General features: G+C 48.4%; 1 protein-coding gene across 9 annotated transcripts in view, besides 2 other annotated features; it reads left to right on the top strand.

Moving 5' to 3' along the window:
* Positions 1–20,290, top strand: part of NPLOC4 (NPL4 homolog, ubiquitin recognition factor) — an 80,228-nt gene that overhangs the window by 14,499 nt on the left and 45,439 nt on the right. For 8 of the 9 annotated variants that reach the window (XM_011524980.2, NM_017921.4, NM_001438810.1 and 5 more), the window contains exons 3-8: positions 336–448; positions 9,120–9,296; positions 12,356–12,404; positions 13,792–13,886; positions 15,800–15,923; positions 17,887–18,066. In XM_011524980.2, coding sequence (XP_011523282.1) covers positions 336–448; positions 9,120–9,296; positions 12,356–12,404; positions 13,792–13,886; positions 15,800–15,923; positions 17,887–18,066 — 738 coding nt within the window. Of the gene's footprint in view, positions 1–335; positions 449–9,119; positions 9,297–12,355; positions 12,405–13,791; positions 13,887–15,799; positions 15,924–17,886; positions 18,067–20,290 lie in introns of those variants that run through there. The other variant, XM_047436368.1, reaches the window with a different exon arrangement.
* Positions 2,700–3,243: an enhancer, noted in NCBI's record as "H3K27ac hESC enhancer chr17:79586397-79586940 (GRCh37/hg19 assembly coordinates)". NCBI's record gives its function as "activates a minimal SCP1, AML or CMV promoter by ChIP-STARR-seq in primed H9 embryonic stem cells {active_cell/tissue: H9 hESC(primed)}" and the evidence as "EXISTENCE:reporter gene assay evidence [ECO:0000049][PMID:30033119]".
* Positions 3,244–3,787: an enhancer, noted in NCBI's record as "NANOG-H3K27ac-H3K4me1 hESC enhancer chr17:79585853-79586396 (GRCh37/hg19 assembly coordinates)". NCBI's record gives its function as "activates a minimal SCP1, AML or CMV promoter by ChIP-STARR-seq in primed H9 embryonic stem cells {active_cell/tissue: H9 hESC(primed)}" and the evidence as "EXISTENCE:reporter gene assay evidence [ECO:0000049][PMID:30033119]".

The following is a 20,290-nucleotide window of genomic DNA, read 5'->3' as shown; positions in this document are numbered from 1 at the left end:
ATGCCACTGTACTCCAGCTTGGGCTACAGAACGAGACTGTCTGAAAACAAAACAAGGATAGCCATTAACTCTTGTTTGCTTCAAAGTCTTAAATGTTTTACAAAGTTTCATCATTGACAAGACCTTTGCTTTTTTGGCCACTTTATTCATTTTAATTGACACCTTTGTGAACAGTACAAATTTCTTTAAAAGAGCAAAATAGCAAGAGGAATTTGGTAAATGATGGGCACTTTCCAAATTTGGTGAATACTCTTCTAGTAGTGTCTGGTGTGTATGGTATGTGTAGTGATACTTTAGCATTTCATTAAATTTCTGTTCTTTGGGCCTTGTTTTAGGTTGCAAAGGAGTTTGGCTTCCAAAATAATGGCTTCTCGGTTTACATCAATAGAAACAAGACCGGAGAGATAACAGCCTCCTCCAACAAATCCCTCAACTTGCTAAAAATCAAGTAAGTGTCCTCTGAGGAGGAAGCAGGGAATGGGGGGAAATGAGGTCCCCATGATCTGCCCGAGGTTGCCGAGTTTTATCCTCTTTCCTCATCACACCACTCATTATGGTCTTATCAACTGACCAGAATACACATGACCGTGTTGCTTGCCAGGAATTCAGTAATTATCCTGAATCTGCAGTTACCATTGAGCAGATTTGATTGACTTTGCAGAATTCTGGAATTTGTGTCACTGAGGAGAAAGTTATTGTCTTTGTCCATGTACGGCGTGGAGTGAGCTGCATACTCAGCTGCTTGTCTGGAGTGAAAGACCTTGAACACAGCTGTGTGCCGGGAAATCATGTTAGCCCTGCTGGCTTGGGTAGGAGTGCTGCCACTGCAGTGGCCCATGCCACCCTGTAGAGTTGGTCATTCAGGACCTTCAGGACTCAGAGACCTCTTGTCACAGCCTGGCTACTGCCTGTTTTTGTAAAGTGTTATTGGAACACAGCCAGGTCGTGTTGTTGGTGCCAGTTTTCATGTTACAAGGGCAGAGTTTAGTTGTGATAGACCGTGAGGCCTGCAAAGCTGAAAGTATTGACTGGTCCTTTACGGAACACGGGTGCTGGCTCCCATCGAAACCATCTGGGCACTTACTCACATGTGCCTTAGATCAGTTCAGTCCTTAAGGAGCTAGTGGCCAGTTTTCCTCTCGACGCTGCAGGTTGCATGTGCTGTGGCCACTGGCTCAGTGGTGGGCCTGGGACCTGCTGGCAGTTGGCTGTGAGCCTGTTTACCAGCCAGAATGATGGGCTGGTTTTGCACTTGGTCACTTTTAGATTCACAAATTACTATGTCTAGGGACACAACATGCAATTGTAGCATTCATTTGTTCTTAACAAAGATGTATTGGGCACCTACTGTTTGCCTACCCATGTGGTGAGGTGAAACGAAACCTCTTGTTGTTGATGTTCATTTCCAGAGTGACACTGGTTCATCCTTCTTTTGAGCTGGTGAGGGGTTTTGCATCTTGATATTTTTCTTTTTTTTTTCTTTTCTTTCCTTCCTTCCTTCTTTCCTTTTCTTTCTTTCTTGAAGGGTTTTGCATCTTGATACTTCCTTCCTTCCTTCCTTTCTTTTCCTTTTCCTTTCTTTCCTTTTCTTGAGACAGAATCTCACCGTGTCACCCAGGCTGGAGTGCGGTGGTGCGATCGTAGCTCACTGCAGCCTCGACCTTCTGGGCTCAAGTGATCCTTCAGCCTCAGCCTCCCGAGTAGCTGGGACTACAGGCACATTTTTCACTTTTAAATCAAATCTAGCTGGTAATTTTTTAAAAAAAAGTTTAAATCTGGAACACGTAACCATTATCTAAAGGTAAAGAGAATGACTGTGAGTGCACACTCTCTGTTCCAGCCAGAGGAACTCTCAGCTCACGACCACGCTTGTCCCGCTGCTCTTGCCCTCCTTCCTTCTCTTCTGTTGCTTGGCCTTTTTTTCTCCCTCCTCTTTTTAATTATTAAACAAAATACGTACTGAACACCTCAGAAAACAGTGTATGCCTTGATGGATGAACCTTATGTGTCACCATTGCAAGCACCAAGCAGGTCTGGGGATAAGGCATTGGCAGCCACTGCAGAAGCTTCCCTAACAGTAATCACCGGTTTGCATTTTTTTATTTATTTATTTTTTTTGAGACGGAGTCTCGCTCTGTCGCCCAGGCTGGAGTGCAATGACGTGATCCCAGCTCACTGCAACCTCTGCCTCCCGGGTTCAAGCATTTCTCCTGCCTCAGCCTCCTGAGTAGCTGGGACTATAGGCTCGTGCCACCATGCCTGGCTAATTTTTTTATTTTATGTAGAGGTGGGGTTTCACTAAGTTGGCCAAGCTGGTCTCGAATTCCTGACCTCGTGATCCACCCGCCTTGGCCTTCCAAAGTGCTGGGATTACAGGTGTGAGCCACCGTGCCTGGCTCTTTATTCTTTCGTTACTTGAGTGTCTATCCCTAGACACTGCCAGTTAGTCTTGCTTTTTAAGGAAATTTGTATGTCTTACTTCTTGTAATCTTCAGGTTCCCCTTCCATCTCTTCCCTTTTCTTGAAATTTATCTGTTGAGGAACTTGGTCCATTGACCTGTAGAGTTTCCCACCTCTGAGGTCTTGCTGATTTCACATTCACAAGACCCTCCAGCATGACCCTCTGTGTCCTGGATTTCCTGCCGATGCAAAGCGGTAAACAGAGGCCTGACAGACTCAGGCCATTCCCTCAGCAGGACCATGGGGTGCTGTACCCCCACCTTTTTTTTTTTTTTGAGACGGAGTCTCAATCTGTTGCCCAGGCTGGAGTGCAGTGGCGCAATCTCAGCTCACTGCAACCTCTGCCTCCCAGGTTCAAGCGATTCTCCTGCCTCAGCCTCCTGAGTAGCTGGGATTACAGGTGCCCACCACCATTCCCAGGTAATTTTTGTATTTTTAGTAGAGACAGGGTTTCACCGTGTTGGCCAGGCTGATCTCAATCTCTTGACCTCAAGTGATTCACCCGCCTCAGCCTCCCAAAGTGTTGGCATTACAGATGTAAGCCACTGCGCCTGGCACCCCGCCTTTTTTCTTTTCTTTTCTTTCTTTTTTTTTTTTTTTCTTGAGACAGAGTTTCATTCTTGTTGCCCAGGCTAGAGTGCAGTGGCATGGTCTCAGCTCACCACAACCTCTGCCCCCCCGGGTTCAAGCGATTCTCCTGCCTTAGCCTCCCGAGTAGCTGGGATTACAGGCATGTGCCACCACGCCCGGCTAATTTTGTTTTTGTTTTTGTTTTTTGAGACGGAGTCTCACTGTGTTGCCCAGGCTAGAGTCCAGTGGCGCGATTTCAGCTCACTGCAAGCTCCACCTCCCGGGTTCATGCCATTCTCCTGCCTCAGCCTCCCGAATAGCTGGGACTACAGGCGCCCGCCAACATGCCCGGCTAATTTTTTGTGTTTTTTTTTTTTTTTTTAATTGATCATTCTTGGGTGTTTCTCGCAGAGGGGGATTTGGCAGGGTCATAGGACAATAGTGGAGGGAAGGTCAGCAGCCAAACAAGTGAACAAAGGTCTCTGGTTTTCCTAGGCAGAGGACCCTGCGGCCTTCCGCAGTGTTTGTGTCCCTGGGTACTTGAGATTAGGGAGTGGTGATGACTCTTAACCAGCATGCTGCCTTCAAGCATCTGTTTAACAAAGCACATCTTGCACCGCCCTTAATCCATTTAACCCTGAGTGGACACAGCACATGTTTCAGAGAGCACAGGGTTGGGGTAAGGTCATAGATCAACAGGATCCCAAGGCAGAAGAATTTTTCTTAGTACAGAACAAAATGAAAAGTCTCCCATGTCTACTTCCTTCTACACAGACACAGCAACCATCCGATTTCTCAATCTTTTCCCCACCTTTCCCCCTTTTCTATTCCACAAAACTGCCATTGTCATCATGGCCCGTTCTCAATGAGCTGTTGGGTACACCTCCCAGACGGGGTGGTGGCCGGGCAGAGGGGCTCCTCACTTCCCAGTAGGGGCGGCCGGGCAGAGGCGCCCCTCACCTCCCAGACGGGCGGCTGGCTGGGCGGGGGCTGACCCCCCACCTCCCTCCCGGACGGGGCGGCTGGCCGGGCGGGGGCACTGACCCCTCACCTCCCTCCCGGACGGGGCGGCTGGCCGGGCGGGGTCGCTGACCCCCCACCTTCCTCCCGGACGGGGTGGCTGCCAGGCGGAGACGCTCCTCACTTCCCAGACGGGGCGGCTGCGGGGCGGAGGGGCTCCTCACTTCTCAGACGGGGCGGCCAGGCAGAGACGCTCCTCACCTCCCAGACGGGGTCGCGGCCAGGCAGAGGCGCTCCTCACATCCCAGACGGGGCGGCGGGGCAGAGGCGCTCCCCACATCTCAGACGATGGGCGGCCGGGCAGAGACGCTCCTCACTTCCTAGATGGGATGGCGGCCGGAAAGAGGCGCTCCTCACTTCCTAGATGGGATGGCGGCCGGGCAGAGACGCTCCTCACTTTCCAGACTGGGCAGCCAGGCAGAGGGGCTCGTCACATCCCAGACGATGGGCGGCCAGGCAGAGAGGCTCCTCACTTCCCAGACGGGGTGGCGGCCGGGCAGAGGCTGCAGTCTCGGCACTTTGGGAGGCCAAGGCAGGCGGCTGGGAGGTAGAGGTTGTAGCGAGCCGAGATCACGCCACTGCACTCCAGCCTGGGCACCATTGAGCACTGAGTGAACGAGACTCCGTCTGCAATCCCGGCACCTCGGGAGGCCGAGGCTGGCGGATCACTTGGTTAGGAGCTGGAGACCAGCCCGGCCAACACAGCGAAACCCCATCTCCACCAAAAAAATACGAAAACCAGTCAGGCGTGGCGGCGCGCGCCTGCAATCGCAGGCACTCGGCAGGCTGAGGCAGGAGAATCAGGCAGGGAGGTTGCAGTGAGCCGAGATGGCAGCAGTACAGTCCAGCTTCGGCTCGGCATGAGAGGGAGACCGTGGAAAGAGACGGAGGGGGAGGGGGGGCATTTTTTGTGTTTTTAATAGAGACGGGATCTCACCGTGTTAGCCAGGATGGTCTCGATCTCCCGACCTTGTGATCCACCTGCTTCAGCCTCCCAAAGTGCTGGGATTACAGGCATGAGCCACTGTGCCCGGCCTAATTTTGTATTTTTAAGTAGACTTGGGGTTTCTCTGTGTTGGTCAGGCTAGTCTTGAACTCCTAACCTCAGGTGATCTGCTGGCCTCAGCCTCCCAGAGTGCTGGGATTACAGGAGTGAGCCACTACACCTGGCACCCTCTTTTTTTCTTTAGAGACAGGGTCTTTGTCCACACTGTTGTGAACTGTGATTGTGCCACTGCACTGCAGCTGGGCAACAGAGCAAGACCCTGTCTCAAAAGTATATAAATAAATACGTAATCTGATTTTTTTTCCCCCTAAATCTGTCTGTTGGCTTCAAGTACTCACAGGGGCCATGTGGCTCCTGGTTTCTCCTAGTTTCTGCTCTGCTGCCACATTGGCCCGCTGGCCTCCAGTGAAGACCACTGGGTGGTTGAGGACTCCCTATCCGGGCTGTGAGACATGGGGGCCTGCCTCTTGGGTCTCGTGACTGTTGGCATCTGTCTGCCCCCACTTGTATCCCTGCCCCCTGCATTGCTGTAGATGCATCGGTGGGACCTGGCATGCGGTCTAGCTGCCTGCAGGAGGGAGATTTGGGAAGAGCCACTGACTTTGGTGCCTGCCACTTCCATGTCCTAGAATCCCGCCTGGTCATTTTGGATAGCCTCTGTCACTCACCCTCTTCTTCCATTCCATTGTTCATTTAATATCCCATGTAGAGGTTGATATTCGGTCTCATAATTTCTGTGTCTGAGTCTTTGGCAGTCTAACTCTCTGTTAATTATGTCTCTGCCCACTCTTACTTGCGTGGTAGTGTGTTACTCTTTTTTTTTTTTTTGAGATGGAGTCTTGCTCTGTCGCCCAGGCTGGAGGGCAGTGGCACCATCTTGGCTCACTGCAAGCTCCGCCCCCTGGGTTCACCCCATTCTCCTGCCTCAGCCTCCCGAGTAGCTGGGACTACAGGCACCTGCCACCATGCCCGGCTAATTTTTTCTATTTTTAGTAGAGACGGGGTTTCACCGTGTTAGCCAGGATCGTCTCAATCTCCTGACCTCATGATCCTCCTGCCTCGGCCTCCCAACGTGCTGGGATTACAGGTGTGAGCCACTGTGCCTGGCCCATGTGTTACTCTTCTACATTTGGATTTTTGGTTCTTATGACAGGTTATATTTGACCAAACTTGGTCTTGAGGAATCCTGAAGGATCCAGATTTAGCAGCTTTGCTTTTCTTTTTTTTTTTTTTTTTTGAGACAGAGTCTTGCTATGTCGCCCAGGCTGGAGTGCAGTGGTGCGATCTCAGCTCACTGCAAGCTCCGCCTCCTGGGTTCATGCCATTCTCCTGTCTCAGCCTCCTGAGTAGCTGGGATTACAGGTGCCCGCCACCACCCCCGGCTAATTTTTTTTTTTATTTTTAGCAGAGACGAGGTTTCACTGTGCTGGCCAGGATGGTCTCAATCTCTTGACCTCGTGATCCTCCCACCTCAGCCTCCCAAAGTGCTGGGATTACAGGCGTGAGCCACCACGCCCGGCCCAGATTTAGCAGCTTTTCTACAGAGGTTTGCATTTGCTTTTGTTGGCACAGGGGGGTGTGATGGACCTACAACTCCTTTGAGTTAATTTCTGTCTTTGGGCTTTCTGAACCAAATGGCATCATCCCTGGTTCTGCTCCAGATGCATGGCCCAGCAGGCCTTTAGTTACAGAGTCTCAGAGGTGACTTTGTTGGTTTTTTTTGCTGTGTACTGGATAGAGGCAGATGGGATTCCTCCTTGGTTCCTATTTTCAGCTGGTGGGTTTTTCACAGCTGTTCAGGCGTCCTTTGGTTATCTGCATTTATGTGGAAGTTTCGGACTCAGCTGCCCCCTCTGGGCAGGGAAGCCCAAGTTCTTGTCTCCCAGTGCCCAGCAAACCGCTGTAGGCCCAAAGCTGTGAGTGAATTACTGAGAGTGGCCTTGGCCCCACAAGCAGCTCTGAGTTCTGTGTTGCTGGCTGCTGTCTGAGTGCACTGCTGGGTTTGTCCCCTGGGGATTTCCTCTACTTTCTTTAGAGCTCATCAATTGATTTTAGAGTATATTTGTTAAAATTGATCTTGTGTGTAAGTCAAGTTTTTTATATTAGTAGTTAGATGGTGTTTAGGAATATGTAATCTGCTATTAGAAACAGACGTCTCGGCTGGACGTGGTGGCTCACGACTGTAATCCTAGCACTTTGGGAGGCCGAGGCAGGTGGATCACCTGAGGTCAGGAGTTCGAGACCAGCCTGTCCAACATGGAGAAACCCCGTCTCTATTAAAAATACAAAAAGTATCTGGGCGTGGTGGCACATGTCTGTAATCCCAGCTACTTGGGAGGCTGAGGCAGGAGAATCGCTTAAACCCGTGAGATGCAGGTTCCAGTGAGCCAAGATCACGCCACTGCACTCCAGCCTGGGTGACAGAGCAAGACTCTGTCTCAAAAAAAAAAAAAAAAAGAAACAGACGTCTCTGATGTGGTAATGTTTGGTAATGTTCATCACCCCCAAATTAGGGAGGAAGAGGAGGAGGAAAGAAATTAGTTGAAGAGCTGCACCTGAGCCCCAGTGTCTGTGTGTCCTTGAGGGCCTGCACTTTGGCCTCTGCTCTTCCTTCACCGTGTTGGTTTAGAGCTGTGGATCCTGCCCTCTCAGACTGTCCCCTGTGTGTGTGTCTTGTTGGCAGCAGTTAGATATCTGTCAGAGGACATGCTGCAGCCTTTCTTCCAAGGCTGGCCTGGAGGGTTAGTGTTGGCAGCCATCTCTGGTCACTTGGGACCCCAGGCGGCTTCTGTGGACTGTGAGTGGAGATGCTTGTTAGCCTCTGAGGTCAGCAGTTTGCCATGCCAGTCAAACCTGGCACCAAGTTGGCAGCGTGACTCTGACCAAGGGAAGAACACACTTCAGACTGAAAGTGATAGAAAACCAGATGTGACTTGTGGCAACCTTTTTGGAAAGCAGTACGTCAGTAGCTTCAGAGACAAGCAGAAACCCTTAAGTCTGACTCCTGGGAGTTTGCCCTTTAGAAGGAAAACCACAGGGACGTCTGTCCGTGGGCCTTTTTGGGGGGTGGTGATGATGGCAGAAGCTGGCAGATGGTGTGCATACTTGTCATTGTGGGAGGAGTGGCTGAGGGGGTGGTTAAGCAGCCTCACTGGGGAATTGAGGCAGCCATTGTCATAGCAATTAGACGTGGACTCCTTATATTTGGAGGATTTTATGAGGGGTTGTTGAAATAGAAAAGTATGTCTCTGGTAATCCCACTTTTTTTTTTTTTTTTTTTTTGAGATGGAGCCTCCCTCTGTCACCAGGCTGGAGTGCAGTGGTGTGATCTTGGCTCACTGTAACCTCCGCCTCCTGGGTTCAAGTGATTCTCCTGCCTCAGCCTCCCGAGTAGCTGGGACTACAGGCGTGCGCCACCACGCCCAGCTAGTCTTTTTGTATTTTTAATAGAGACGAGATTTCACCCTGTTGGCCAGGATGGTCTTGATCTTTTGACCTTGTGATCCATCTGCCTCAGCCTCCCAAAGTGCTGGGATTACAGGCATGAGCCACCGAGCCTGGCCAGTCACACTTTTTAAAAGCAGTGACAGCTCCTATGCGTGTCTGTGCTTACGTGTGTATGTGAACGCCGAGAAAGCAGTGGAGATACATGCAACCAGCACATGCAGTGTTGGGGGAGGAGAGAGCCTCCCAGAGGCCAGAGGAATGGCTGAGGGAGGTGGGGGCCAAGCAGAGGGTGAGAGGCGGGAGGAGAGGCCCTGAAACCCAGCAGGTCCATTGTGGCTGTGTGTGCAAGCAAAATCATTTGGGTGTATGGAGGCTTCACAGAGTTTAAGGTAAAGTTGTAAGAGATTAAATTACAGAGAACCTGCATACTGGTCTTTATAATGCCAGGAAACATAGGGGAGATGTTAGAAGAGAATTCTCATCTTAAAAGTTAGAAACCTCATTGTTTAGGCCTACAGGGGTGGTTGGCATTTGCTTTTTGCAGATATCCAAGTTGGGCTTCCATGAAGCTCAGGTGGTAAGGGAAGGCATCAGCCTCTGTTTATCATTTGAACAGGCATGGCGATTTGTTGTTCCTGTTTCCCTCGAGCCTTGCTGGGCCCTCATCTGAAATGGAGACGTCAGTTCCACCGGGCTTCAAAGTCTTTGGCGCTCCCAACGTGGTGGAGGATGAGATTGATCAGTACCTCAGCAAACAGGACGGGAAGATTTACAGAAGCCGAGACCCACAGCTGTAAGTGATCCATGAGATTCCAGGGTCCTACTTGTGGTGATCTTAATGGGTGAATAAAGGGAAATATTTATAACATGTCTTGTTTTAATAAGTATCTGATGAAGAAATGTTAAGTCTTAAGTTTTACTATCTTCAGATTAAACTTCAAGTTATCTTGTTAGCTTTTTATCGGTTTTTGTTTTTTTTTTTTAGCTTTTTATCAGTTTCCACCTCAAAATATGTTCCCATAAAAAATTTTGAAGCATTTGGGTACAAAGAGACTGGAAAGGTATTGGGGGAGTTGGGGGCCTCACACCAAGTCTTTACTGTGATGTCCCCTGGAGATGCTGATTCCCGTGCAGAGTGGGGTGTTAATCAGCAGCTGCAGGGGAGGGAGGAGGGAAGGGGCAGGTGGTTGTGTGTGCGCATCCATGTGAGGTGAGTGCTGTGTCTCTCATTTCATAGCGGTTGGATGATTTTGACCTGCCACACTAGTGTGCGCTCTCCATCCCTGCAGCAAGCATTTCACTTGCAGAAGATGCTGTGCCTTGGAATATTCCCTCCTCACCTGGGGCTATATGAAGTGCTTATGCATATGTACATTGTTTATTTTAGATTTTTTGCAATTCCTTTTAAATAAACCAGTGAGAAGGATCTGAGTTTATACTTGGCCATGTGAAATTGTCTGAGCGAAGGTTGTCTCTGCAGTGGGGTCTTTTTTAAAATGCATCACTCTGTAGATGTGACGGGGTGCTGACTTTGCGGTATTGGGATTCCAAATGCTGCATTAGCAACTTTTATGTCTTAGATCAGAGAGCCATAAATGGTGCTCTCCTGCCATTGGCATGGAGCCACTTTGTAGCCATAGCCATTAGCCGGCATGCCTCTTCCATTTGTGTCTCCTCCCAGGGGCCTGGCACTGGCTTGCTTGCATGATCTGTGTCTTCATGGCTTCATTAGCAGCTTTTGAGAGCGTGTGTGTGTGAGAGAATTCTGAGCCATCATCACTTAGATCCTGCCTATTAGGAAGCACAGAGGCCACCTCTGTTCCGCAGCACAGGGCTCATACGCATGTAAGAATTCTGACCCCACTTAGAAAGGGGTCTGACTGAGCCCCGGAGGGACGGCCGCCGGCGCCCTCGTAAACCAGCATACCTCTCCTTCAGATTGTGCGTGTTGTGCTCCCAAGGCTTCTGTGACTGAAAATGTTAGAAAGCCGTGGGACAAGGTTTTTTCATTGTTGTTATTTCCCAAAATGCATATGAAGTAGGTATTTTCCAAACTTGGATTATTTATGCACCGCTCTCAGGCCCTTTGCCATGTTCACGTACCAGCTTTGTTATTATTTATTTAACACTTTTCTTTTTTTTTTTTTTTTTGAGATGGACTCTCGCTCTGTCACCCAGGCTGGAGTGCAGTGGCGCGACGTCCGCTCACTGCCAGCTGCGTCCCCCCGGTTCACGCCATTCTCCTGCCTCAGCCTCCCAAGTAGCTGGGACTACAGGCGCCCGCCACCACGCCTGGCTAATTTTTTTGTATTTTTAGTAAAGACGGGGTTTCACCGTGTTTGCCAGGATGGTCTCTATCTCCTGACTTGTGATCCACCCGCCTCGGCCTCCCAAAGTGCTGGGATTACAGGGCGCAAGCCACCACACCTGGCCTATTTAACACTTTTCTTTAAATGGACTTGGCCAGGCGCAGTTGCTCACACCTGTAATCCCAGCACTTTGGGAGGCTGAGGCAGGTGGATCACCTGAGGTCAGGAGTTTGAGACCAGCCTGACCAATATGGTGAAATCCCGTCTCTACTAAAAATACAAAAATTAGCCAGGCATGGTGGTGTGCACCTGTAGTCCCAGCTACTTGGGAGGCTGAGACAGGAGAATCGCTTGAAACGAGGAGGCGGAGGTTGCATGGAGCCGAGATCATACCTCTGCACTCCAGCCTGGGTGACAGAGTGAAACTCCGTCTCAGAAAAAAAGAAAACAAAAAAAAAACTATTTTATTTATTTATTTATTTGAGTGGAATTTCACTCTCGTCTCCCAGGCTGGAGTGCAGTGGCACAATCTCAGCTCATCGCAACCTTTGCCTCCCAGGTTCAAGCAATTCTCCTGCCTCAGCCTCCCTGGTTCCTGGCATTACAGGTGCTTGCCACCACGTCCGGCTAATTTTTGTATTTTTAGTAGAGATGGGGTTTCACCATGTTGGCCAGGCTTGTCTTTAACTCCTGACCTCAGGTGATCCACCCATCTCAGCCTCCCAAAGTGTTGGGATTAGAGGTGTGAGCCACTGCCTTTGGCCAATAAACTACTTACATTGACTTTGAGTTCATTCACTTTTATCTTTGGTTTGTGTCATTTTTTTTTTTTTTTTTTTTTTTGAGACGGAGTCTCGCTCTGTCGCCCAGGCCGGACTGCGGACTGCAGTGGCGCAATCTCGGCTCACTGCAAGCTCCGCTTCCCGGGTTCACGCCATTCTCCTGCCTCAGCCTCCCGAGTAGCTGGGACTACAGGCGCCCGCCACCGCGCCCGGCTAATTTTTTGTATTTTTAGTAGAGACGGGGTTTCACCTTGTTAGCCAGGATGGTCTCGATCTCCTGACCTCATGATCCACCCGCCTCGGCCTCCCAAAGTGCTGGGATTACAGGCGTGAGCCACCGCGCCCGGCCTGGTTTGTGTCATTTTAAGCAGTGGATACCCATGAAGTCACAGGTTTGATGTGCGGGTCAGTTTTTTCTAATTCATATCAACATAAGTAGTAAACTTCTGGGTGTGGTGGTGTACACCTGGAGTCCCAGATACTCGGGGAGGCTGAGGTGGGAGTGCTTGAGCCCAGGAGGTGAAGGCTGCAGGGAGCCACGATCACCACTGCACTCCAGCCTGGGCGATAGAGTGAGAGCCTGTCTTTAAACAAAACAAAACAACAATTAAAATATAAATGTTTATCCATGTGCCATCTGGAATATAACTCCACGTGGGCAGGGAAACACTCTGTTAAAGTAGGACGTGCATGTGAGACAGCAGCAGCGGAACACAGACATCCTCACTGCTCTGCCTTTTTCTGCCTTGTACTCTCCTCAGATGCCGCCACGGCCCTTTGGGGAAATGCGTGCACTGCGTCCCTCTAGAGGTGAGAGTCTCTGCGGAGTAAGTTCTGGGCCAGTGTGGGGGGCTGCGGGTAGACAGCTGTCTTAAGTGCTTGCCCTGAGTCCACGCACTTGGCTGTAGTGAGTGGTTCAAAGAACTTACCTATTTATTGCCCTGGGCCTCATATTCCCCTAGTGCAAGCTGCACACAGGACGAGCCTTTATTTATGGGAGTGACCTTCTCGCTGGATTATGAATGGCTGAAGCATTTGTGTGGCTGTGATAAAGGGGCAGCATTTACAGCGGGCTCCCTGGACAATCCTTTTCCGATCTGACACAAAGCTGAGCCTGTCGGCCTCCGTGCTTATCATTGTTGATTTACTTTGCCTTGAATCTCACATCTCTTCTACTGGTTTGTCCTGGTGAGACTGAGAGTTACCGTAATAATGCCGACTGGAACTGTTAATGCTGGGTTTACAGCAGGAAGGCCAGCCCGATTTTCTTCATGAGGCATCTCTTGCCTCATCTTGTGGCATTTCTTTTTGCACAATTTTCCTGAAACTCATTTGACTTAGAGCGTTTTGTGTTTAATAGAGATTCATTTTAATCTTGAAAAGATAACTGGCACACAAAGAAAAACTTGCTTCTGGCTATGTGCAGTGACGCCTGTAGTCCCGACACTTTGGGAGGCCAGGGCCAGAGGATCATTTGAGCCTAGGAATTGTTCAGCCTGGGCAACTCTTTTTTTGTATACCCTGTCTCTACAAAAAATTTAAAAAATTAGCTGGGTGTGGTGGTTCACGCCTGTAGTCCCAGCTACTCAGGAAGCTGAGGCAAGAGAATCACTTGAGGTCGAGGCTGCAGTGAGCCATGATTGCACCACCATACTCCAACCTGGGCAACAGCATGAGACCCCATCTCTAAAACAGTTAAATTGGCCAGACTCAGTGGCTCACGCCTGTAAAGCTAACACTTTGGGAGGCCAAGGCGGGTGGATCATGAGGTCAGGAGTTTGAGACCAGCCTGGCCAATATGCTGAAACCCCGTCTCCACTAAAAATACAAAAATAAGCTGGGCGTGGTGGCGTGCACCTGTAGTCCTAGCTACTTGGGAGGCAGAGGCAGAAGAGTTGCTTGAACCCAGAGGTGGAGGTTGTAGTGAGCAGAGACTGTGCCACTGTGCCACTGCACTCCAGCCTGGGCGACAGAGTGAGACTCCGTCTCAAAACAAACAAACAAAAAACAATTAATTAAAAAAAGAAAAACTTGGTTCTGACTCAGAGTGGTAAGGGAGACCCTAGTACCTGCTTTCACTGTGGGCCTTGACTTGCCAAGGCCATGCTGCTGGCCTCCCCCTGTGCGTAGCAGAGGCTCAGCGCCTGGAGTGACCGGCACGTGTGAGACTGCACTCGCTTACTCTGTGTCTTGGCAGCCATTCGATGAGGACTATCTAAACCATCTCGAGCCTCCCGTGAAGCACATGTCCTTCCACGCCTACATCCGGAAGCTGACTGGAGGGGCTGACAAGTAAGCAACTTGCTGTAACCTGGTTGTGCGTAAATTCCTTTTTGTGTAGCTGGCAGTTGTTGCTTATAGCCAGTGAACGTGTGAATGAGAGAAGTAAAGATGAGAAGGGGTCACACGCCTTTGAAAGTTACCGTGGTTCTATATTTATTTATTTATTTTTTATGTACTCATATATGTTTTTAAGAGATGGGGTCTCACTATGTTGCCCAGGCTGGTCTAGAACTCCTTGGCTCAAGTGATCCTCCTGCCTTGGTTTCCCCAAAGTGCTGGATTACAGGTGTGAGCCACCTCGCCTGGCCAACCTGGTTCTAGAAGGGAGCTAGCAAGGCAGAGCGACTGTGCAGGCGCCTGGCTGCGTGGCCACAGTGCAGTATCAGACAGAGGCTGTCCCCACACACACCACCCCAGCAAGTTAGCATCTGTGATGGTGGCCTGTTGATTCTGTGGTCTGAGTTCATTCTCTGCTTTTCAGAAAAACAACTACCCTGTGAGAATCTCAGCTTCCCCACCTCAGTGCCTGGTAACCCTTTCCCCAGAGCCTGGCCTCTGAGTCAGCTTGGTTTTCAGCCACAGCAGGGGCTGCAGCCACTAATCCTCATGGTACCACAGTAGTTGCCCACAGGCTCAGCCAGGTGGGCAGAGGTGGTAACAGTGGCCAGAAAGGGGTGAACTGAGCATTTTGATTTCTTTTAAGCCATGGCAAGCCCTTGCCTGTATGACCTTCTCCTGTTGGCTCTCTGTACACCCTACCAGAAAGTAGCAGGCTTCAGCTATTATTTTATAATTCCTGTCAGTGCAACGAGGAGATGGTGGCTGAACTGAAGTCAGCAACATTTTGTGAAGGATGTCATATTCGCCTGATTGTAGCTTTTCTCTGACAACCTGCTGACATCCTAAAATGACTTTTTAAAAATGTTAGACCAGAAGAAAAAACCTGCTAGAAACCCACTGTTGCTTGTCAGTGGGGAAAGCTGTGGAACTCTCTGGACTAAGGAGTGGGTGCAGATTGATTGTAGTGAAAGAGACTTGGTCAGCCTTTCTCAGTCTAGGTCAAGGAACACAGTCTCTAGTGGGGGCGTGTTTGTGGCTGCTGTTAGCATGCAGATTCAGTGACGAGTCTTTGCTTCCTAGATGCTATGATACCAAAAATGGCTCACCACCAAAAATGATCAGTATGTGAGGTAATGCATATGTTAATTAGCTCAATTTAGCCGTTCCACAGTGTGGACATGTTTCAGAATATCATTTCGTACACTGTAAATATATCGTTTTTATTTGAAAAACAAAACCTCACGTCTACCTTAAAGATACAGATTTCTTTTTTTTTTTTTTTTGTCAGTTATATTTCAATAAAGCTGGAGAAAAAGAAAAAGTTCAGAGTAGGGTCCAGGATTTTCTCATTGACAGTCTTCAACAGTAGTTTTTATTTTAGCCTAAAGCAGAGTAAAGATGCCTTAATTATATATCCTAATCAGATTTTTCCCATGAATAAGAATTTTTTACAAATATCTAAGTACTGGGCTAATGTCAAAGTTTCTGACAATTTAATGAAACCTGTAGGAGCCTCATGCCCGCTCAGTGGCACAGGTGAGATCAGTAGATATTCTACAGTATTCTTGAAAGCTTTCTCGGATGTTAGTGATAGATGGTAAAAAACACCACAGTTTGGTAGGAAAGTAGTTGTGTGTTCCTGTATGGTTGAAGTATGTGGGACAGAAGCTGGGATTCGGAATGTGCTGGAACTGTAGGTAGAGCTTCCATTAGAATCATCCTTAGCCCATCTTCCCTGCTGCTGCCACGTGCTTAGCTCCTGAGACACTGTTCAGGAGGTATAAGATACTTAGCATGTCATTTCCAGCCTCTTGCTCAACTTTTCACCAATGTGATGTTTAAGTTGCTTCTCTTCTATGTAGGGGGAAGTTTGTTGCCCTGGAGAACATCAGCTGCAAGATTAAGTCAGGGTGCGAGGGGCACCTCCCGTGGCCGAATGGCATCTGTACTAAGTGCCAGCCGAGCGCCATCACGCTGAACAGACAGGTGAGATGTTCCCTGTCTGTCTAGATTTGTTTTCATGGCTGAGAAACGGATATTTCCAGAAGAGCCCCTTGGAGTGGAATGCTATTAGCACTATGCGTGGTGGATTTTCAGTACTTTTTGATGGACTGAATGATCCTTTTGTGGAAGTGGTACACTGAATATATCATTTTTAAGGCTTCTTGCTCTTGGAGATATGGAGTGCGCGCCCTCAGTTCTCTGTTTTGCTGGCTCATATGGAGGCAGAATGTTCCTGATGATTATTTAAAATCCTCAGTGGTTGTGAGGAAACTGGCTCTGAAGGTTGGTAAAGGGGCACCCCTTGGACCAGCTCTGAGCACCTGTCCAGGCTGGCTTAAGGAGAGAATGTGGCTCAGGAAGGAGGGAGCGTTCCGGCCTTTCTGGATGTTCTGCTGTCCTTGTCCCGCCTCTGAGTAGCCTGCCTCGCCTTCCTCCTGCCGCTGTGCCCTTAGAGAAAACGGCTCCTTAGAGAGAATTCCGTGGCCTCCTCGACTTTTTTGGAAACCTCCTATTCTCTATTCCTTTTTTCTTCTTGAAAACTACTTTATTTTGGCCGGGCAAGGTGGCTCACACCTGTAATCCCAGCACTTTGGGAGGTTGAGGTGGGCGGATCACCTGAGGTCAGGAGTTCAAGACCAGCCTGGCCAATATGGTGAAACCCCATCTCTACTAAAAATACAAAAAATTAGCTGGGCGTAGTGATGGGCGCCTGTCGTCCCAGTTGCTCAGGAGGCTGAGGCAGGAGAATCACTTGAACCTGAAGGCAGAGGTTGCAGTGAGCCAAAATCACGCCACTGCACTCCAGCCTGGGTGACAGAGCGAGACTCCGTCTCAAAAAAAAAAAAAAAGAAAATGTGTTTGTTTTTTGCCCTAGAGATTGTGAAAACCTGTATTTTAGGTTAAATCACAATGGAATTATTTTGAATTTATTGATAGATGAAACCCATCTCCATCCTCCTATAACCCCGTGTCCCGCCACTGGACTCTGAAGTGGTCTAAAGGGCAGAGCATTTTTTTTTTTTTTTGAGACAGAGTCTCACTCCGTAGCCCAGGCTGAATTGCAGTGGTGCAGTCTTGGCTCACTGCAACCTCAGCCTCCCAGGTGCAAGTGATTCTATTGCCTCAGCCTCCGGAGTAGCTGGGATTACAGGCATGAGCCACCATGCCTGGCTAATTTTTGTATTTTTAGTAGAGACAGGGTTTCACTGTATTGAATAATTTTTGAGGTTTAACTCCTGGACTCAAGAGATCCGCCTGCCTCACCTCCCATAGTGCTGGGATTACAGGCATGAGCCACCGTGCCTGACTGGTTTTTTTCTTAAGTAATGTTTATTGTTTTTATTTTTAAATAGAATAGCAGATTATTATTATTATTATTTATTTTTTTTTTTTGAGATGGAGTTTTGCTCTGTCGCCCAGGCTGGAGTGCAGTGGCGCCATCTCAGCTCACTGCGAGCTCCACCTCCCGGGTTCACGCCATTCTCCTGCCTCAGCCTCCCGAGTAACTGAGACTACAGGCGCCCGCCACCACGCCTGGCTCTGGCTAATTTTTTGTATTTTTATAAAATACAAAAAAAATAGAGACGGGATTTCATCATGTTGGTCAGGATGGTCTTGATCTCCTGACCTCATGATCCGCCCGCCTTGGCCTCCCAAAGTGCTGGGATTACAGGCGTGAGCCACTGCGCCCAGCCCAGATGTTTATTTTTTAAGATACAAGGGGTCTCACTCTGTCACCCAGGCTGGACTTGAACTCCTGGGCTTAAGCGATCCTCTAGCCTCGGCCTCCTGAGTATCTGGGACCACAGGCATGCACCATCACACCCTATTGGTTTGTTTTTTAAAGAACTAGGTAAAAGATATTTATGAATGGTTTGTGTTAGAAAAACAAGTGATTTCTTTTTGATGGCATGTTTTCATCAGCCCACTCTTGTTAACTCTACAGAAGTACAGGCATGTGGACAATATCATGTTTGAGAATCACACCGTCGCTGACCGCTTTCTTGACTTCTGGAGAAAGACAGGGAACCAGCATTTTGGGTACTTATACGGACGGTACACGGAGCACAAAGACATTCCCCTTGGCATCAGGGCTGAAGTGGCTGCGATTTATGAGCCACCTCAGGTAAACATGACGGGATTCAAGTTCCTGAGTTTCTGTGTTTGGAGGCTGTGGGGGACGCCCTTTCGGAGAGGCCTTGCCCTGTTCGCTTTGTTGTTTGTTCCCCCTTTGTCACACACCGGTGCACGTGCACAACATTTTCTGAGTTATTGGAGAGTGAGATCATGGCTCCTAAAACCTTCAGTGTATGTTACTAAGGATAAGGATATTTTCTTACACAACCGGTACATTTGCCACTATTGATCCAGTGTTTTTATCTCGTCTGCTGTGTCCAGGTTTGCTCATTGACTCTGTAGTGTCCAGGTGCTCAGTCCTTGTGTCATTCTGTGTCTCTTCCACCATGCAGCAGTCACTGTCTTAGGAACCATGGAGAAGGCCACAGACACACCTCAGCACCAATCACCAGAGTGTCACCAGAGTAACAAAAACTGCCACCAAAATAGGACTGATAACAATTTAAGATTTGTTTGGAGGGGAAAGAAGTGTCCTGAGGGTATATCCCGCAGGGTGTGTGCACATCTAGTCACTGTGCTTGGAAGTCATTGGAAGGCCCTCTCGGTATGATTATGCCACCAACTAGTTACACATTGTATTTCTGGTTTTTGGGAATTGGGCTGTGTGTGTATATTTATATAAATTTCAATTTGTTTTGTAATTATGTATAATGATGTAGTGTATTTTACATACATTTTATTGCAAAAGTAAAAAAGTAAGCAAATATTGAATGCTAGTTAATGATATGCATGCTGTACTATTTAGGGAGAAGTACATTTATGTCTGTAATACACTTGAAATCCAATAGAAAAATAAAATGAATTGATGGGTGACTAGAGGGACAGATAGTGCATAGGAAATGTTCATGGTGAATCTAGTGGTGGGTATATGAGTATTCACTGTAAAATTCTTTAAATTAGCTGTATGTTAGAAATTTTTAATTTTTATTTATTTATTTTTTAGAGATGAGTCTTGCTCTGTTGCCCAGACTGGAGTGCAGTTGTGCAGTCATAGCTTACTGCATCCTTGACCTCCTGGGCTCAAGCGATCCTCCTGCCTCAGCCTTCTGAGTAGCTGGGACTACAGGTGCATGCCACCATGCCAAGCTAGTTTTTAAATTTTTGGTAGAGTCAGGGTCTCGCTATATTGCCCAGGTTGGTCTTGAACTACTGGCCTCAAGTGACCCTCACATCTTGGCCTCCTGAAGTGTTGAGATTACAGGTAGGAGCCACTGTGCCCAGCCAGAAATATTTTTAAAAGTTAGAAAAGAAAAAAAAAGTGCACATTTCCAAAGTCATGTTTACAAACAAGGTATATTCATTTCCTTTTACCCTGCTTTCCTTTATAGGTAGCCCCTAGAATTTAAAACCTTTTTCTTTTTGAGACAGCGTCTCACTCTGTTGCTCAGGCTGGAGTGCAGTACTGCCATCATGGCTCAATGCAGCCTCAATTGCAGCCCTCTTGGGCTCAAGCAATCCTCCTGCCTCAGCCTCCCAAGTGTCTGGGACTACAGGCGTGCACCACCATGTCTGACTTTTATATGTGTGTGTGTGTGTGTGTGTGTGTGTGTGTGTGTATTTGTGTATATATATGTGTGTATATATATGTGTGTGTATATATATATGTGTGTGTGTATATATACATATATATGTATGTATGTGTATATACATATATAGTGTGTGTGGAGACAGATCTCGCCATGTTACCCAGGCTTGTCTGGAACTCCTGGGCTCACACAGTTCACTCGCCTCAGCCTACCAAAATTCTGGGATTACAAGCATAAGCCACCATGCTCAGCCTAAATCTTTTTAGTTGGACTTCCTGAAGTTTGATTTTTTTTTTTTTTTTTAATTTTGAGACGGAGTTTTACTCTGTCACCCAGGCTGGAGTGCAGTGGCATGATCTCCACTCACTTCAACCTCCGCCTTCCGGGTTCAAGTGATTCTCCTGCCTCAGCCTCCTGAATAGCGGGGATTACAGGTGCCGCCACCACGCCTGGCTAATTTTTGTAATTTTAGTAGAGACAGGGTTTCACCATGTTGGTCAGGCTGGTCTCAAACTCCTGACCTCGTGATCCACCCGCCTCAGCCTCACAAAGTGTTGGGATTATAGGCGTGAGCCACTGCGCCCGGCCTGATTTTTTTTTAATTGTTTAATTGTTTAATTTTTTTTTTTATACAGGGAGGGTCTCTGTGTGGCCCACGCTGGTCTCAAACTCCTGGCCTCAAGTGAT

This window comes from Homo sapiens, chromosome 17, assembly GCF_000001405.40.
Source record: "Homo sapiens chromosome 17, GRCh38.p14 Primary Assembly".
Lineage (NCBI taxonomy): Eukaryota > Metazoa > Chordata > Mammalia > Primates > Hominidae > Homo > Homo sapiens.
The sequence above is the reverse complement of the archived record's forward strand: the minus strand, read 5'-3'. Positions and strand labels throughout refer to the sequence as shown.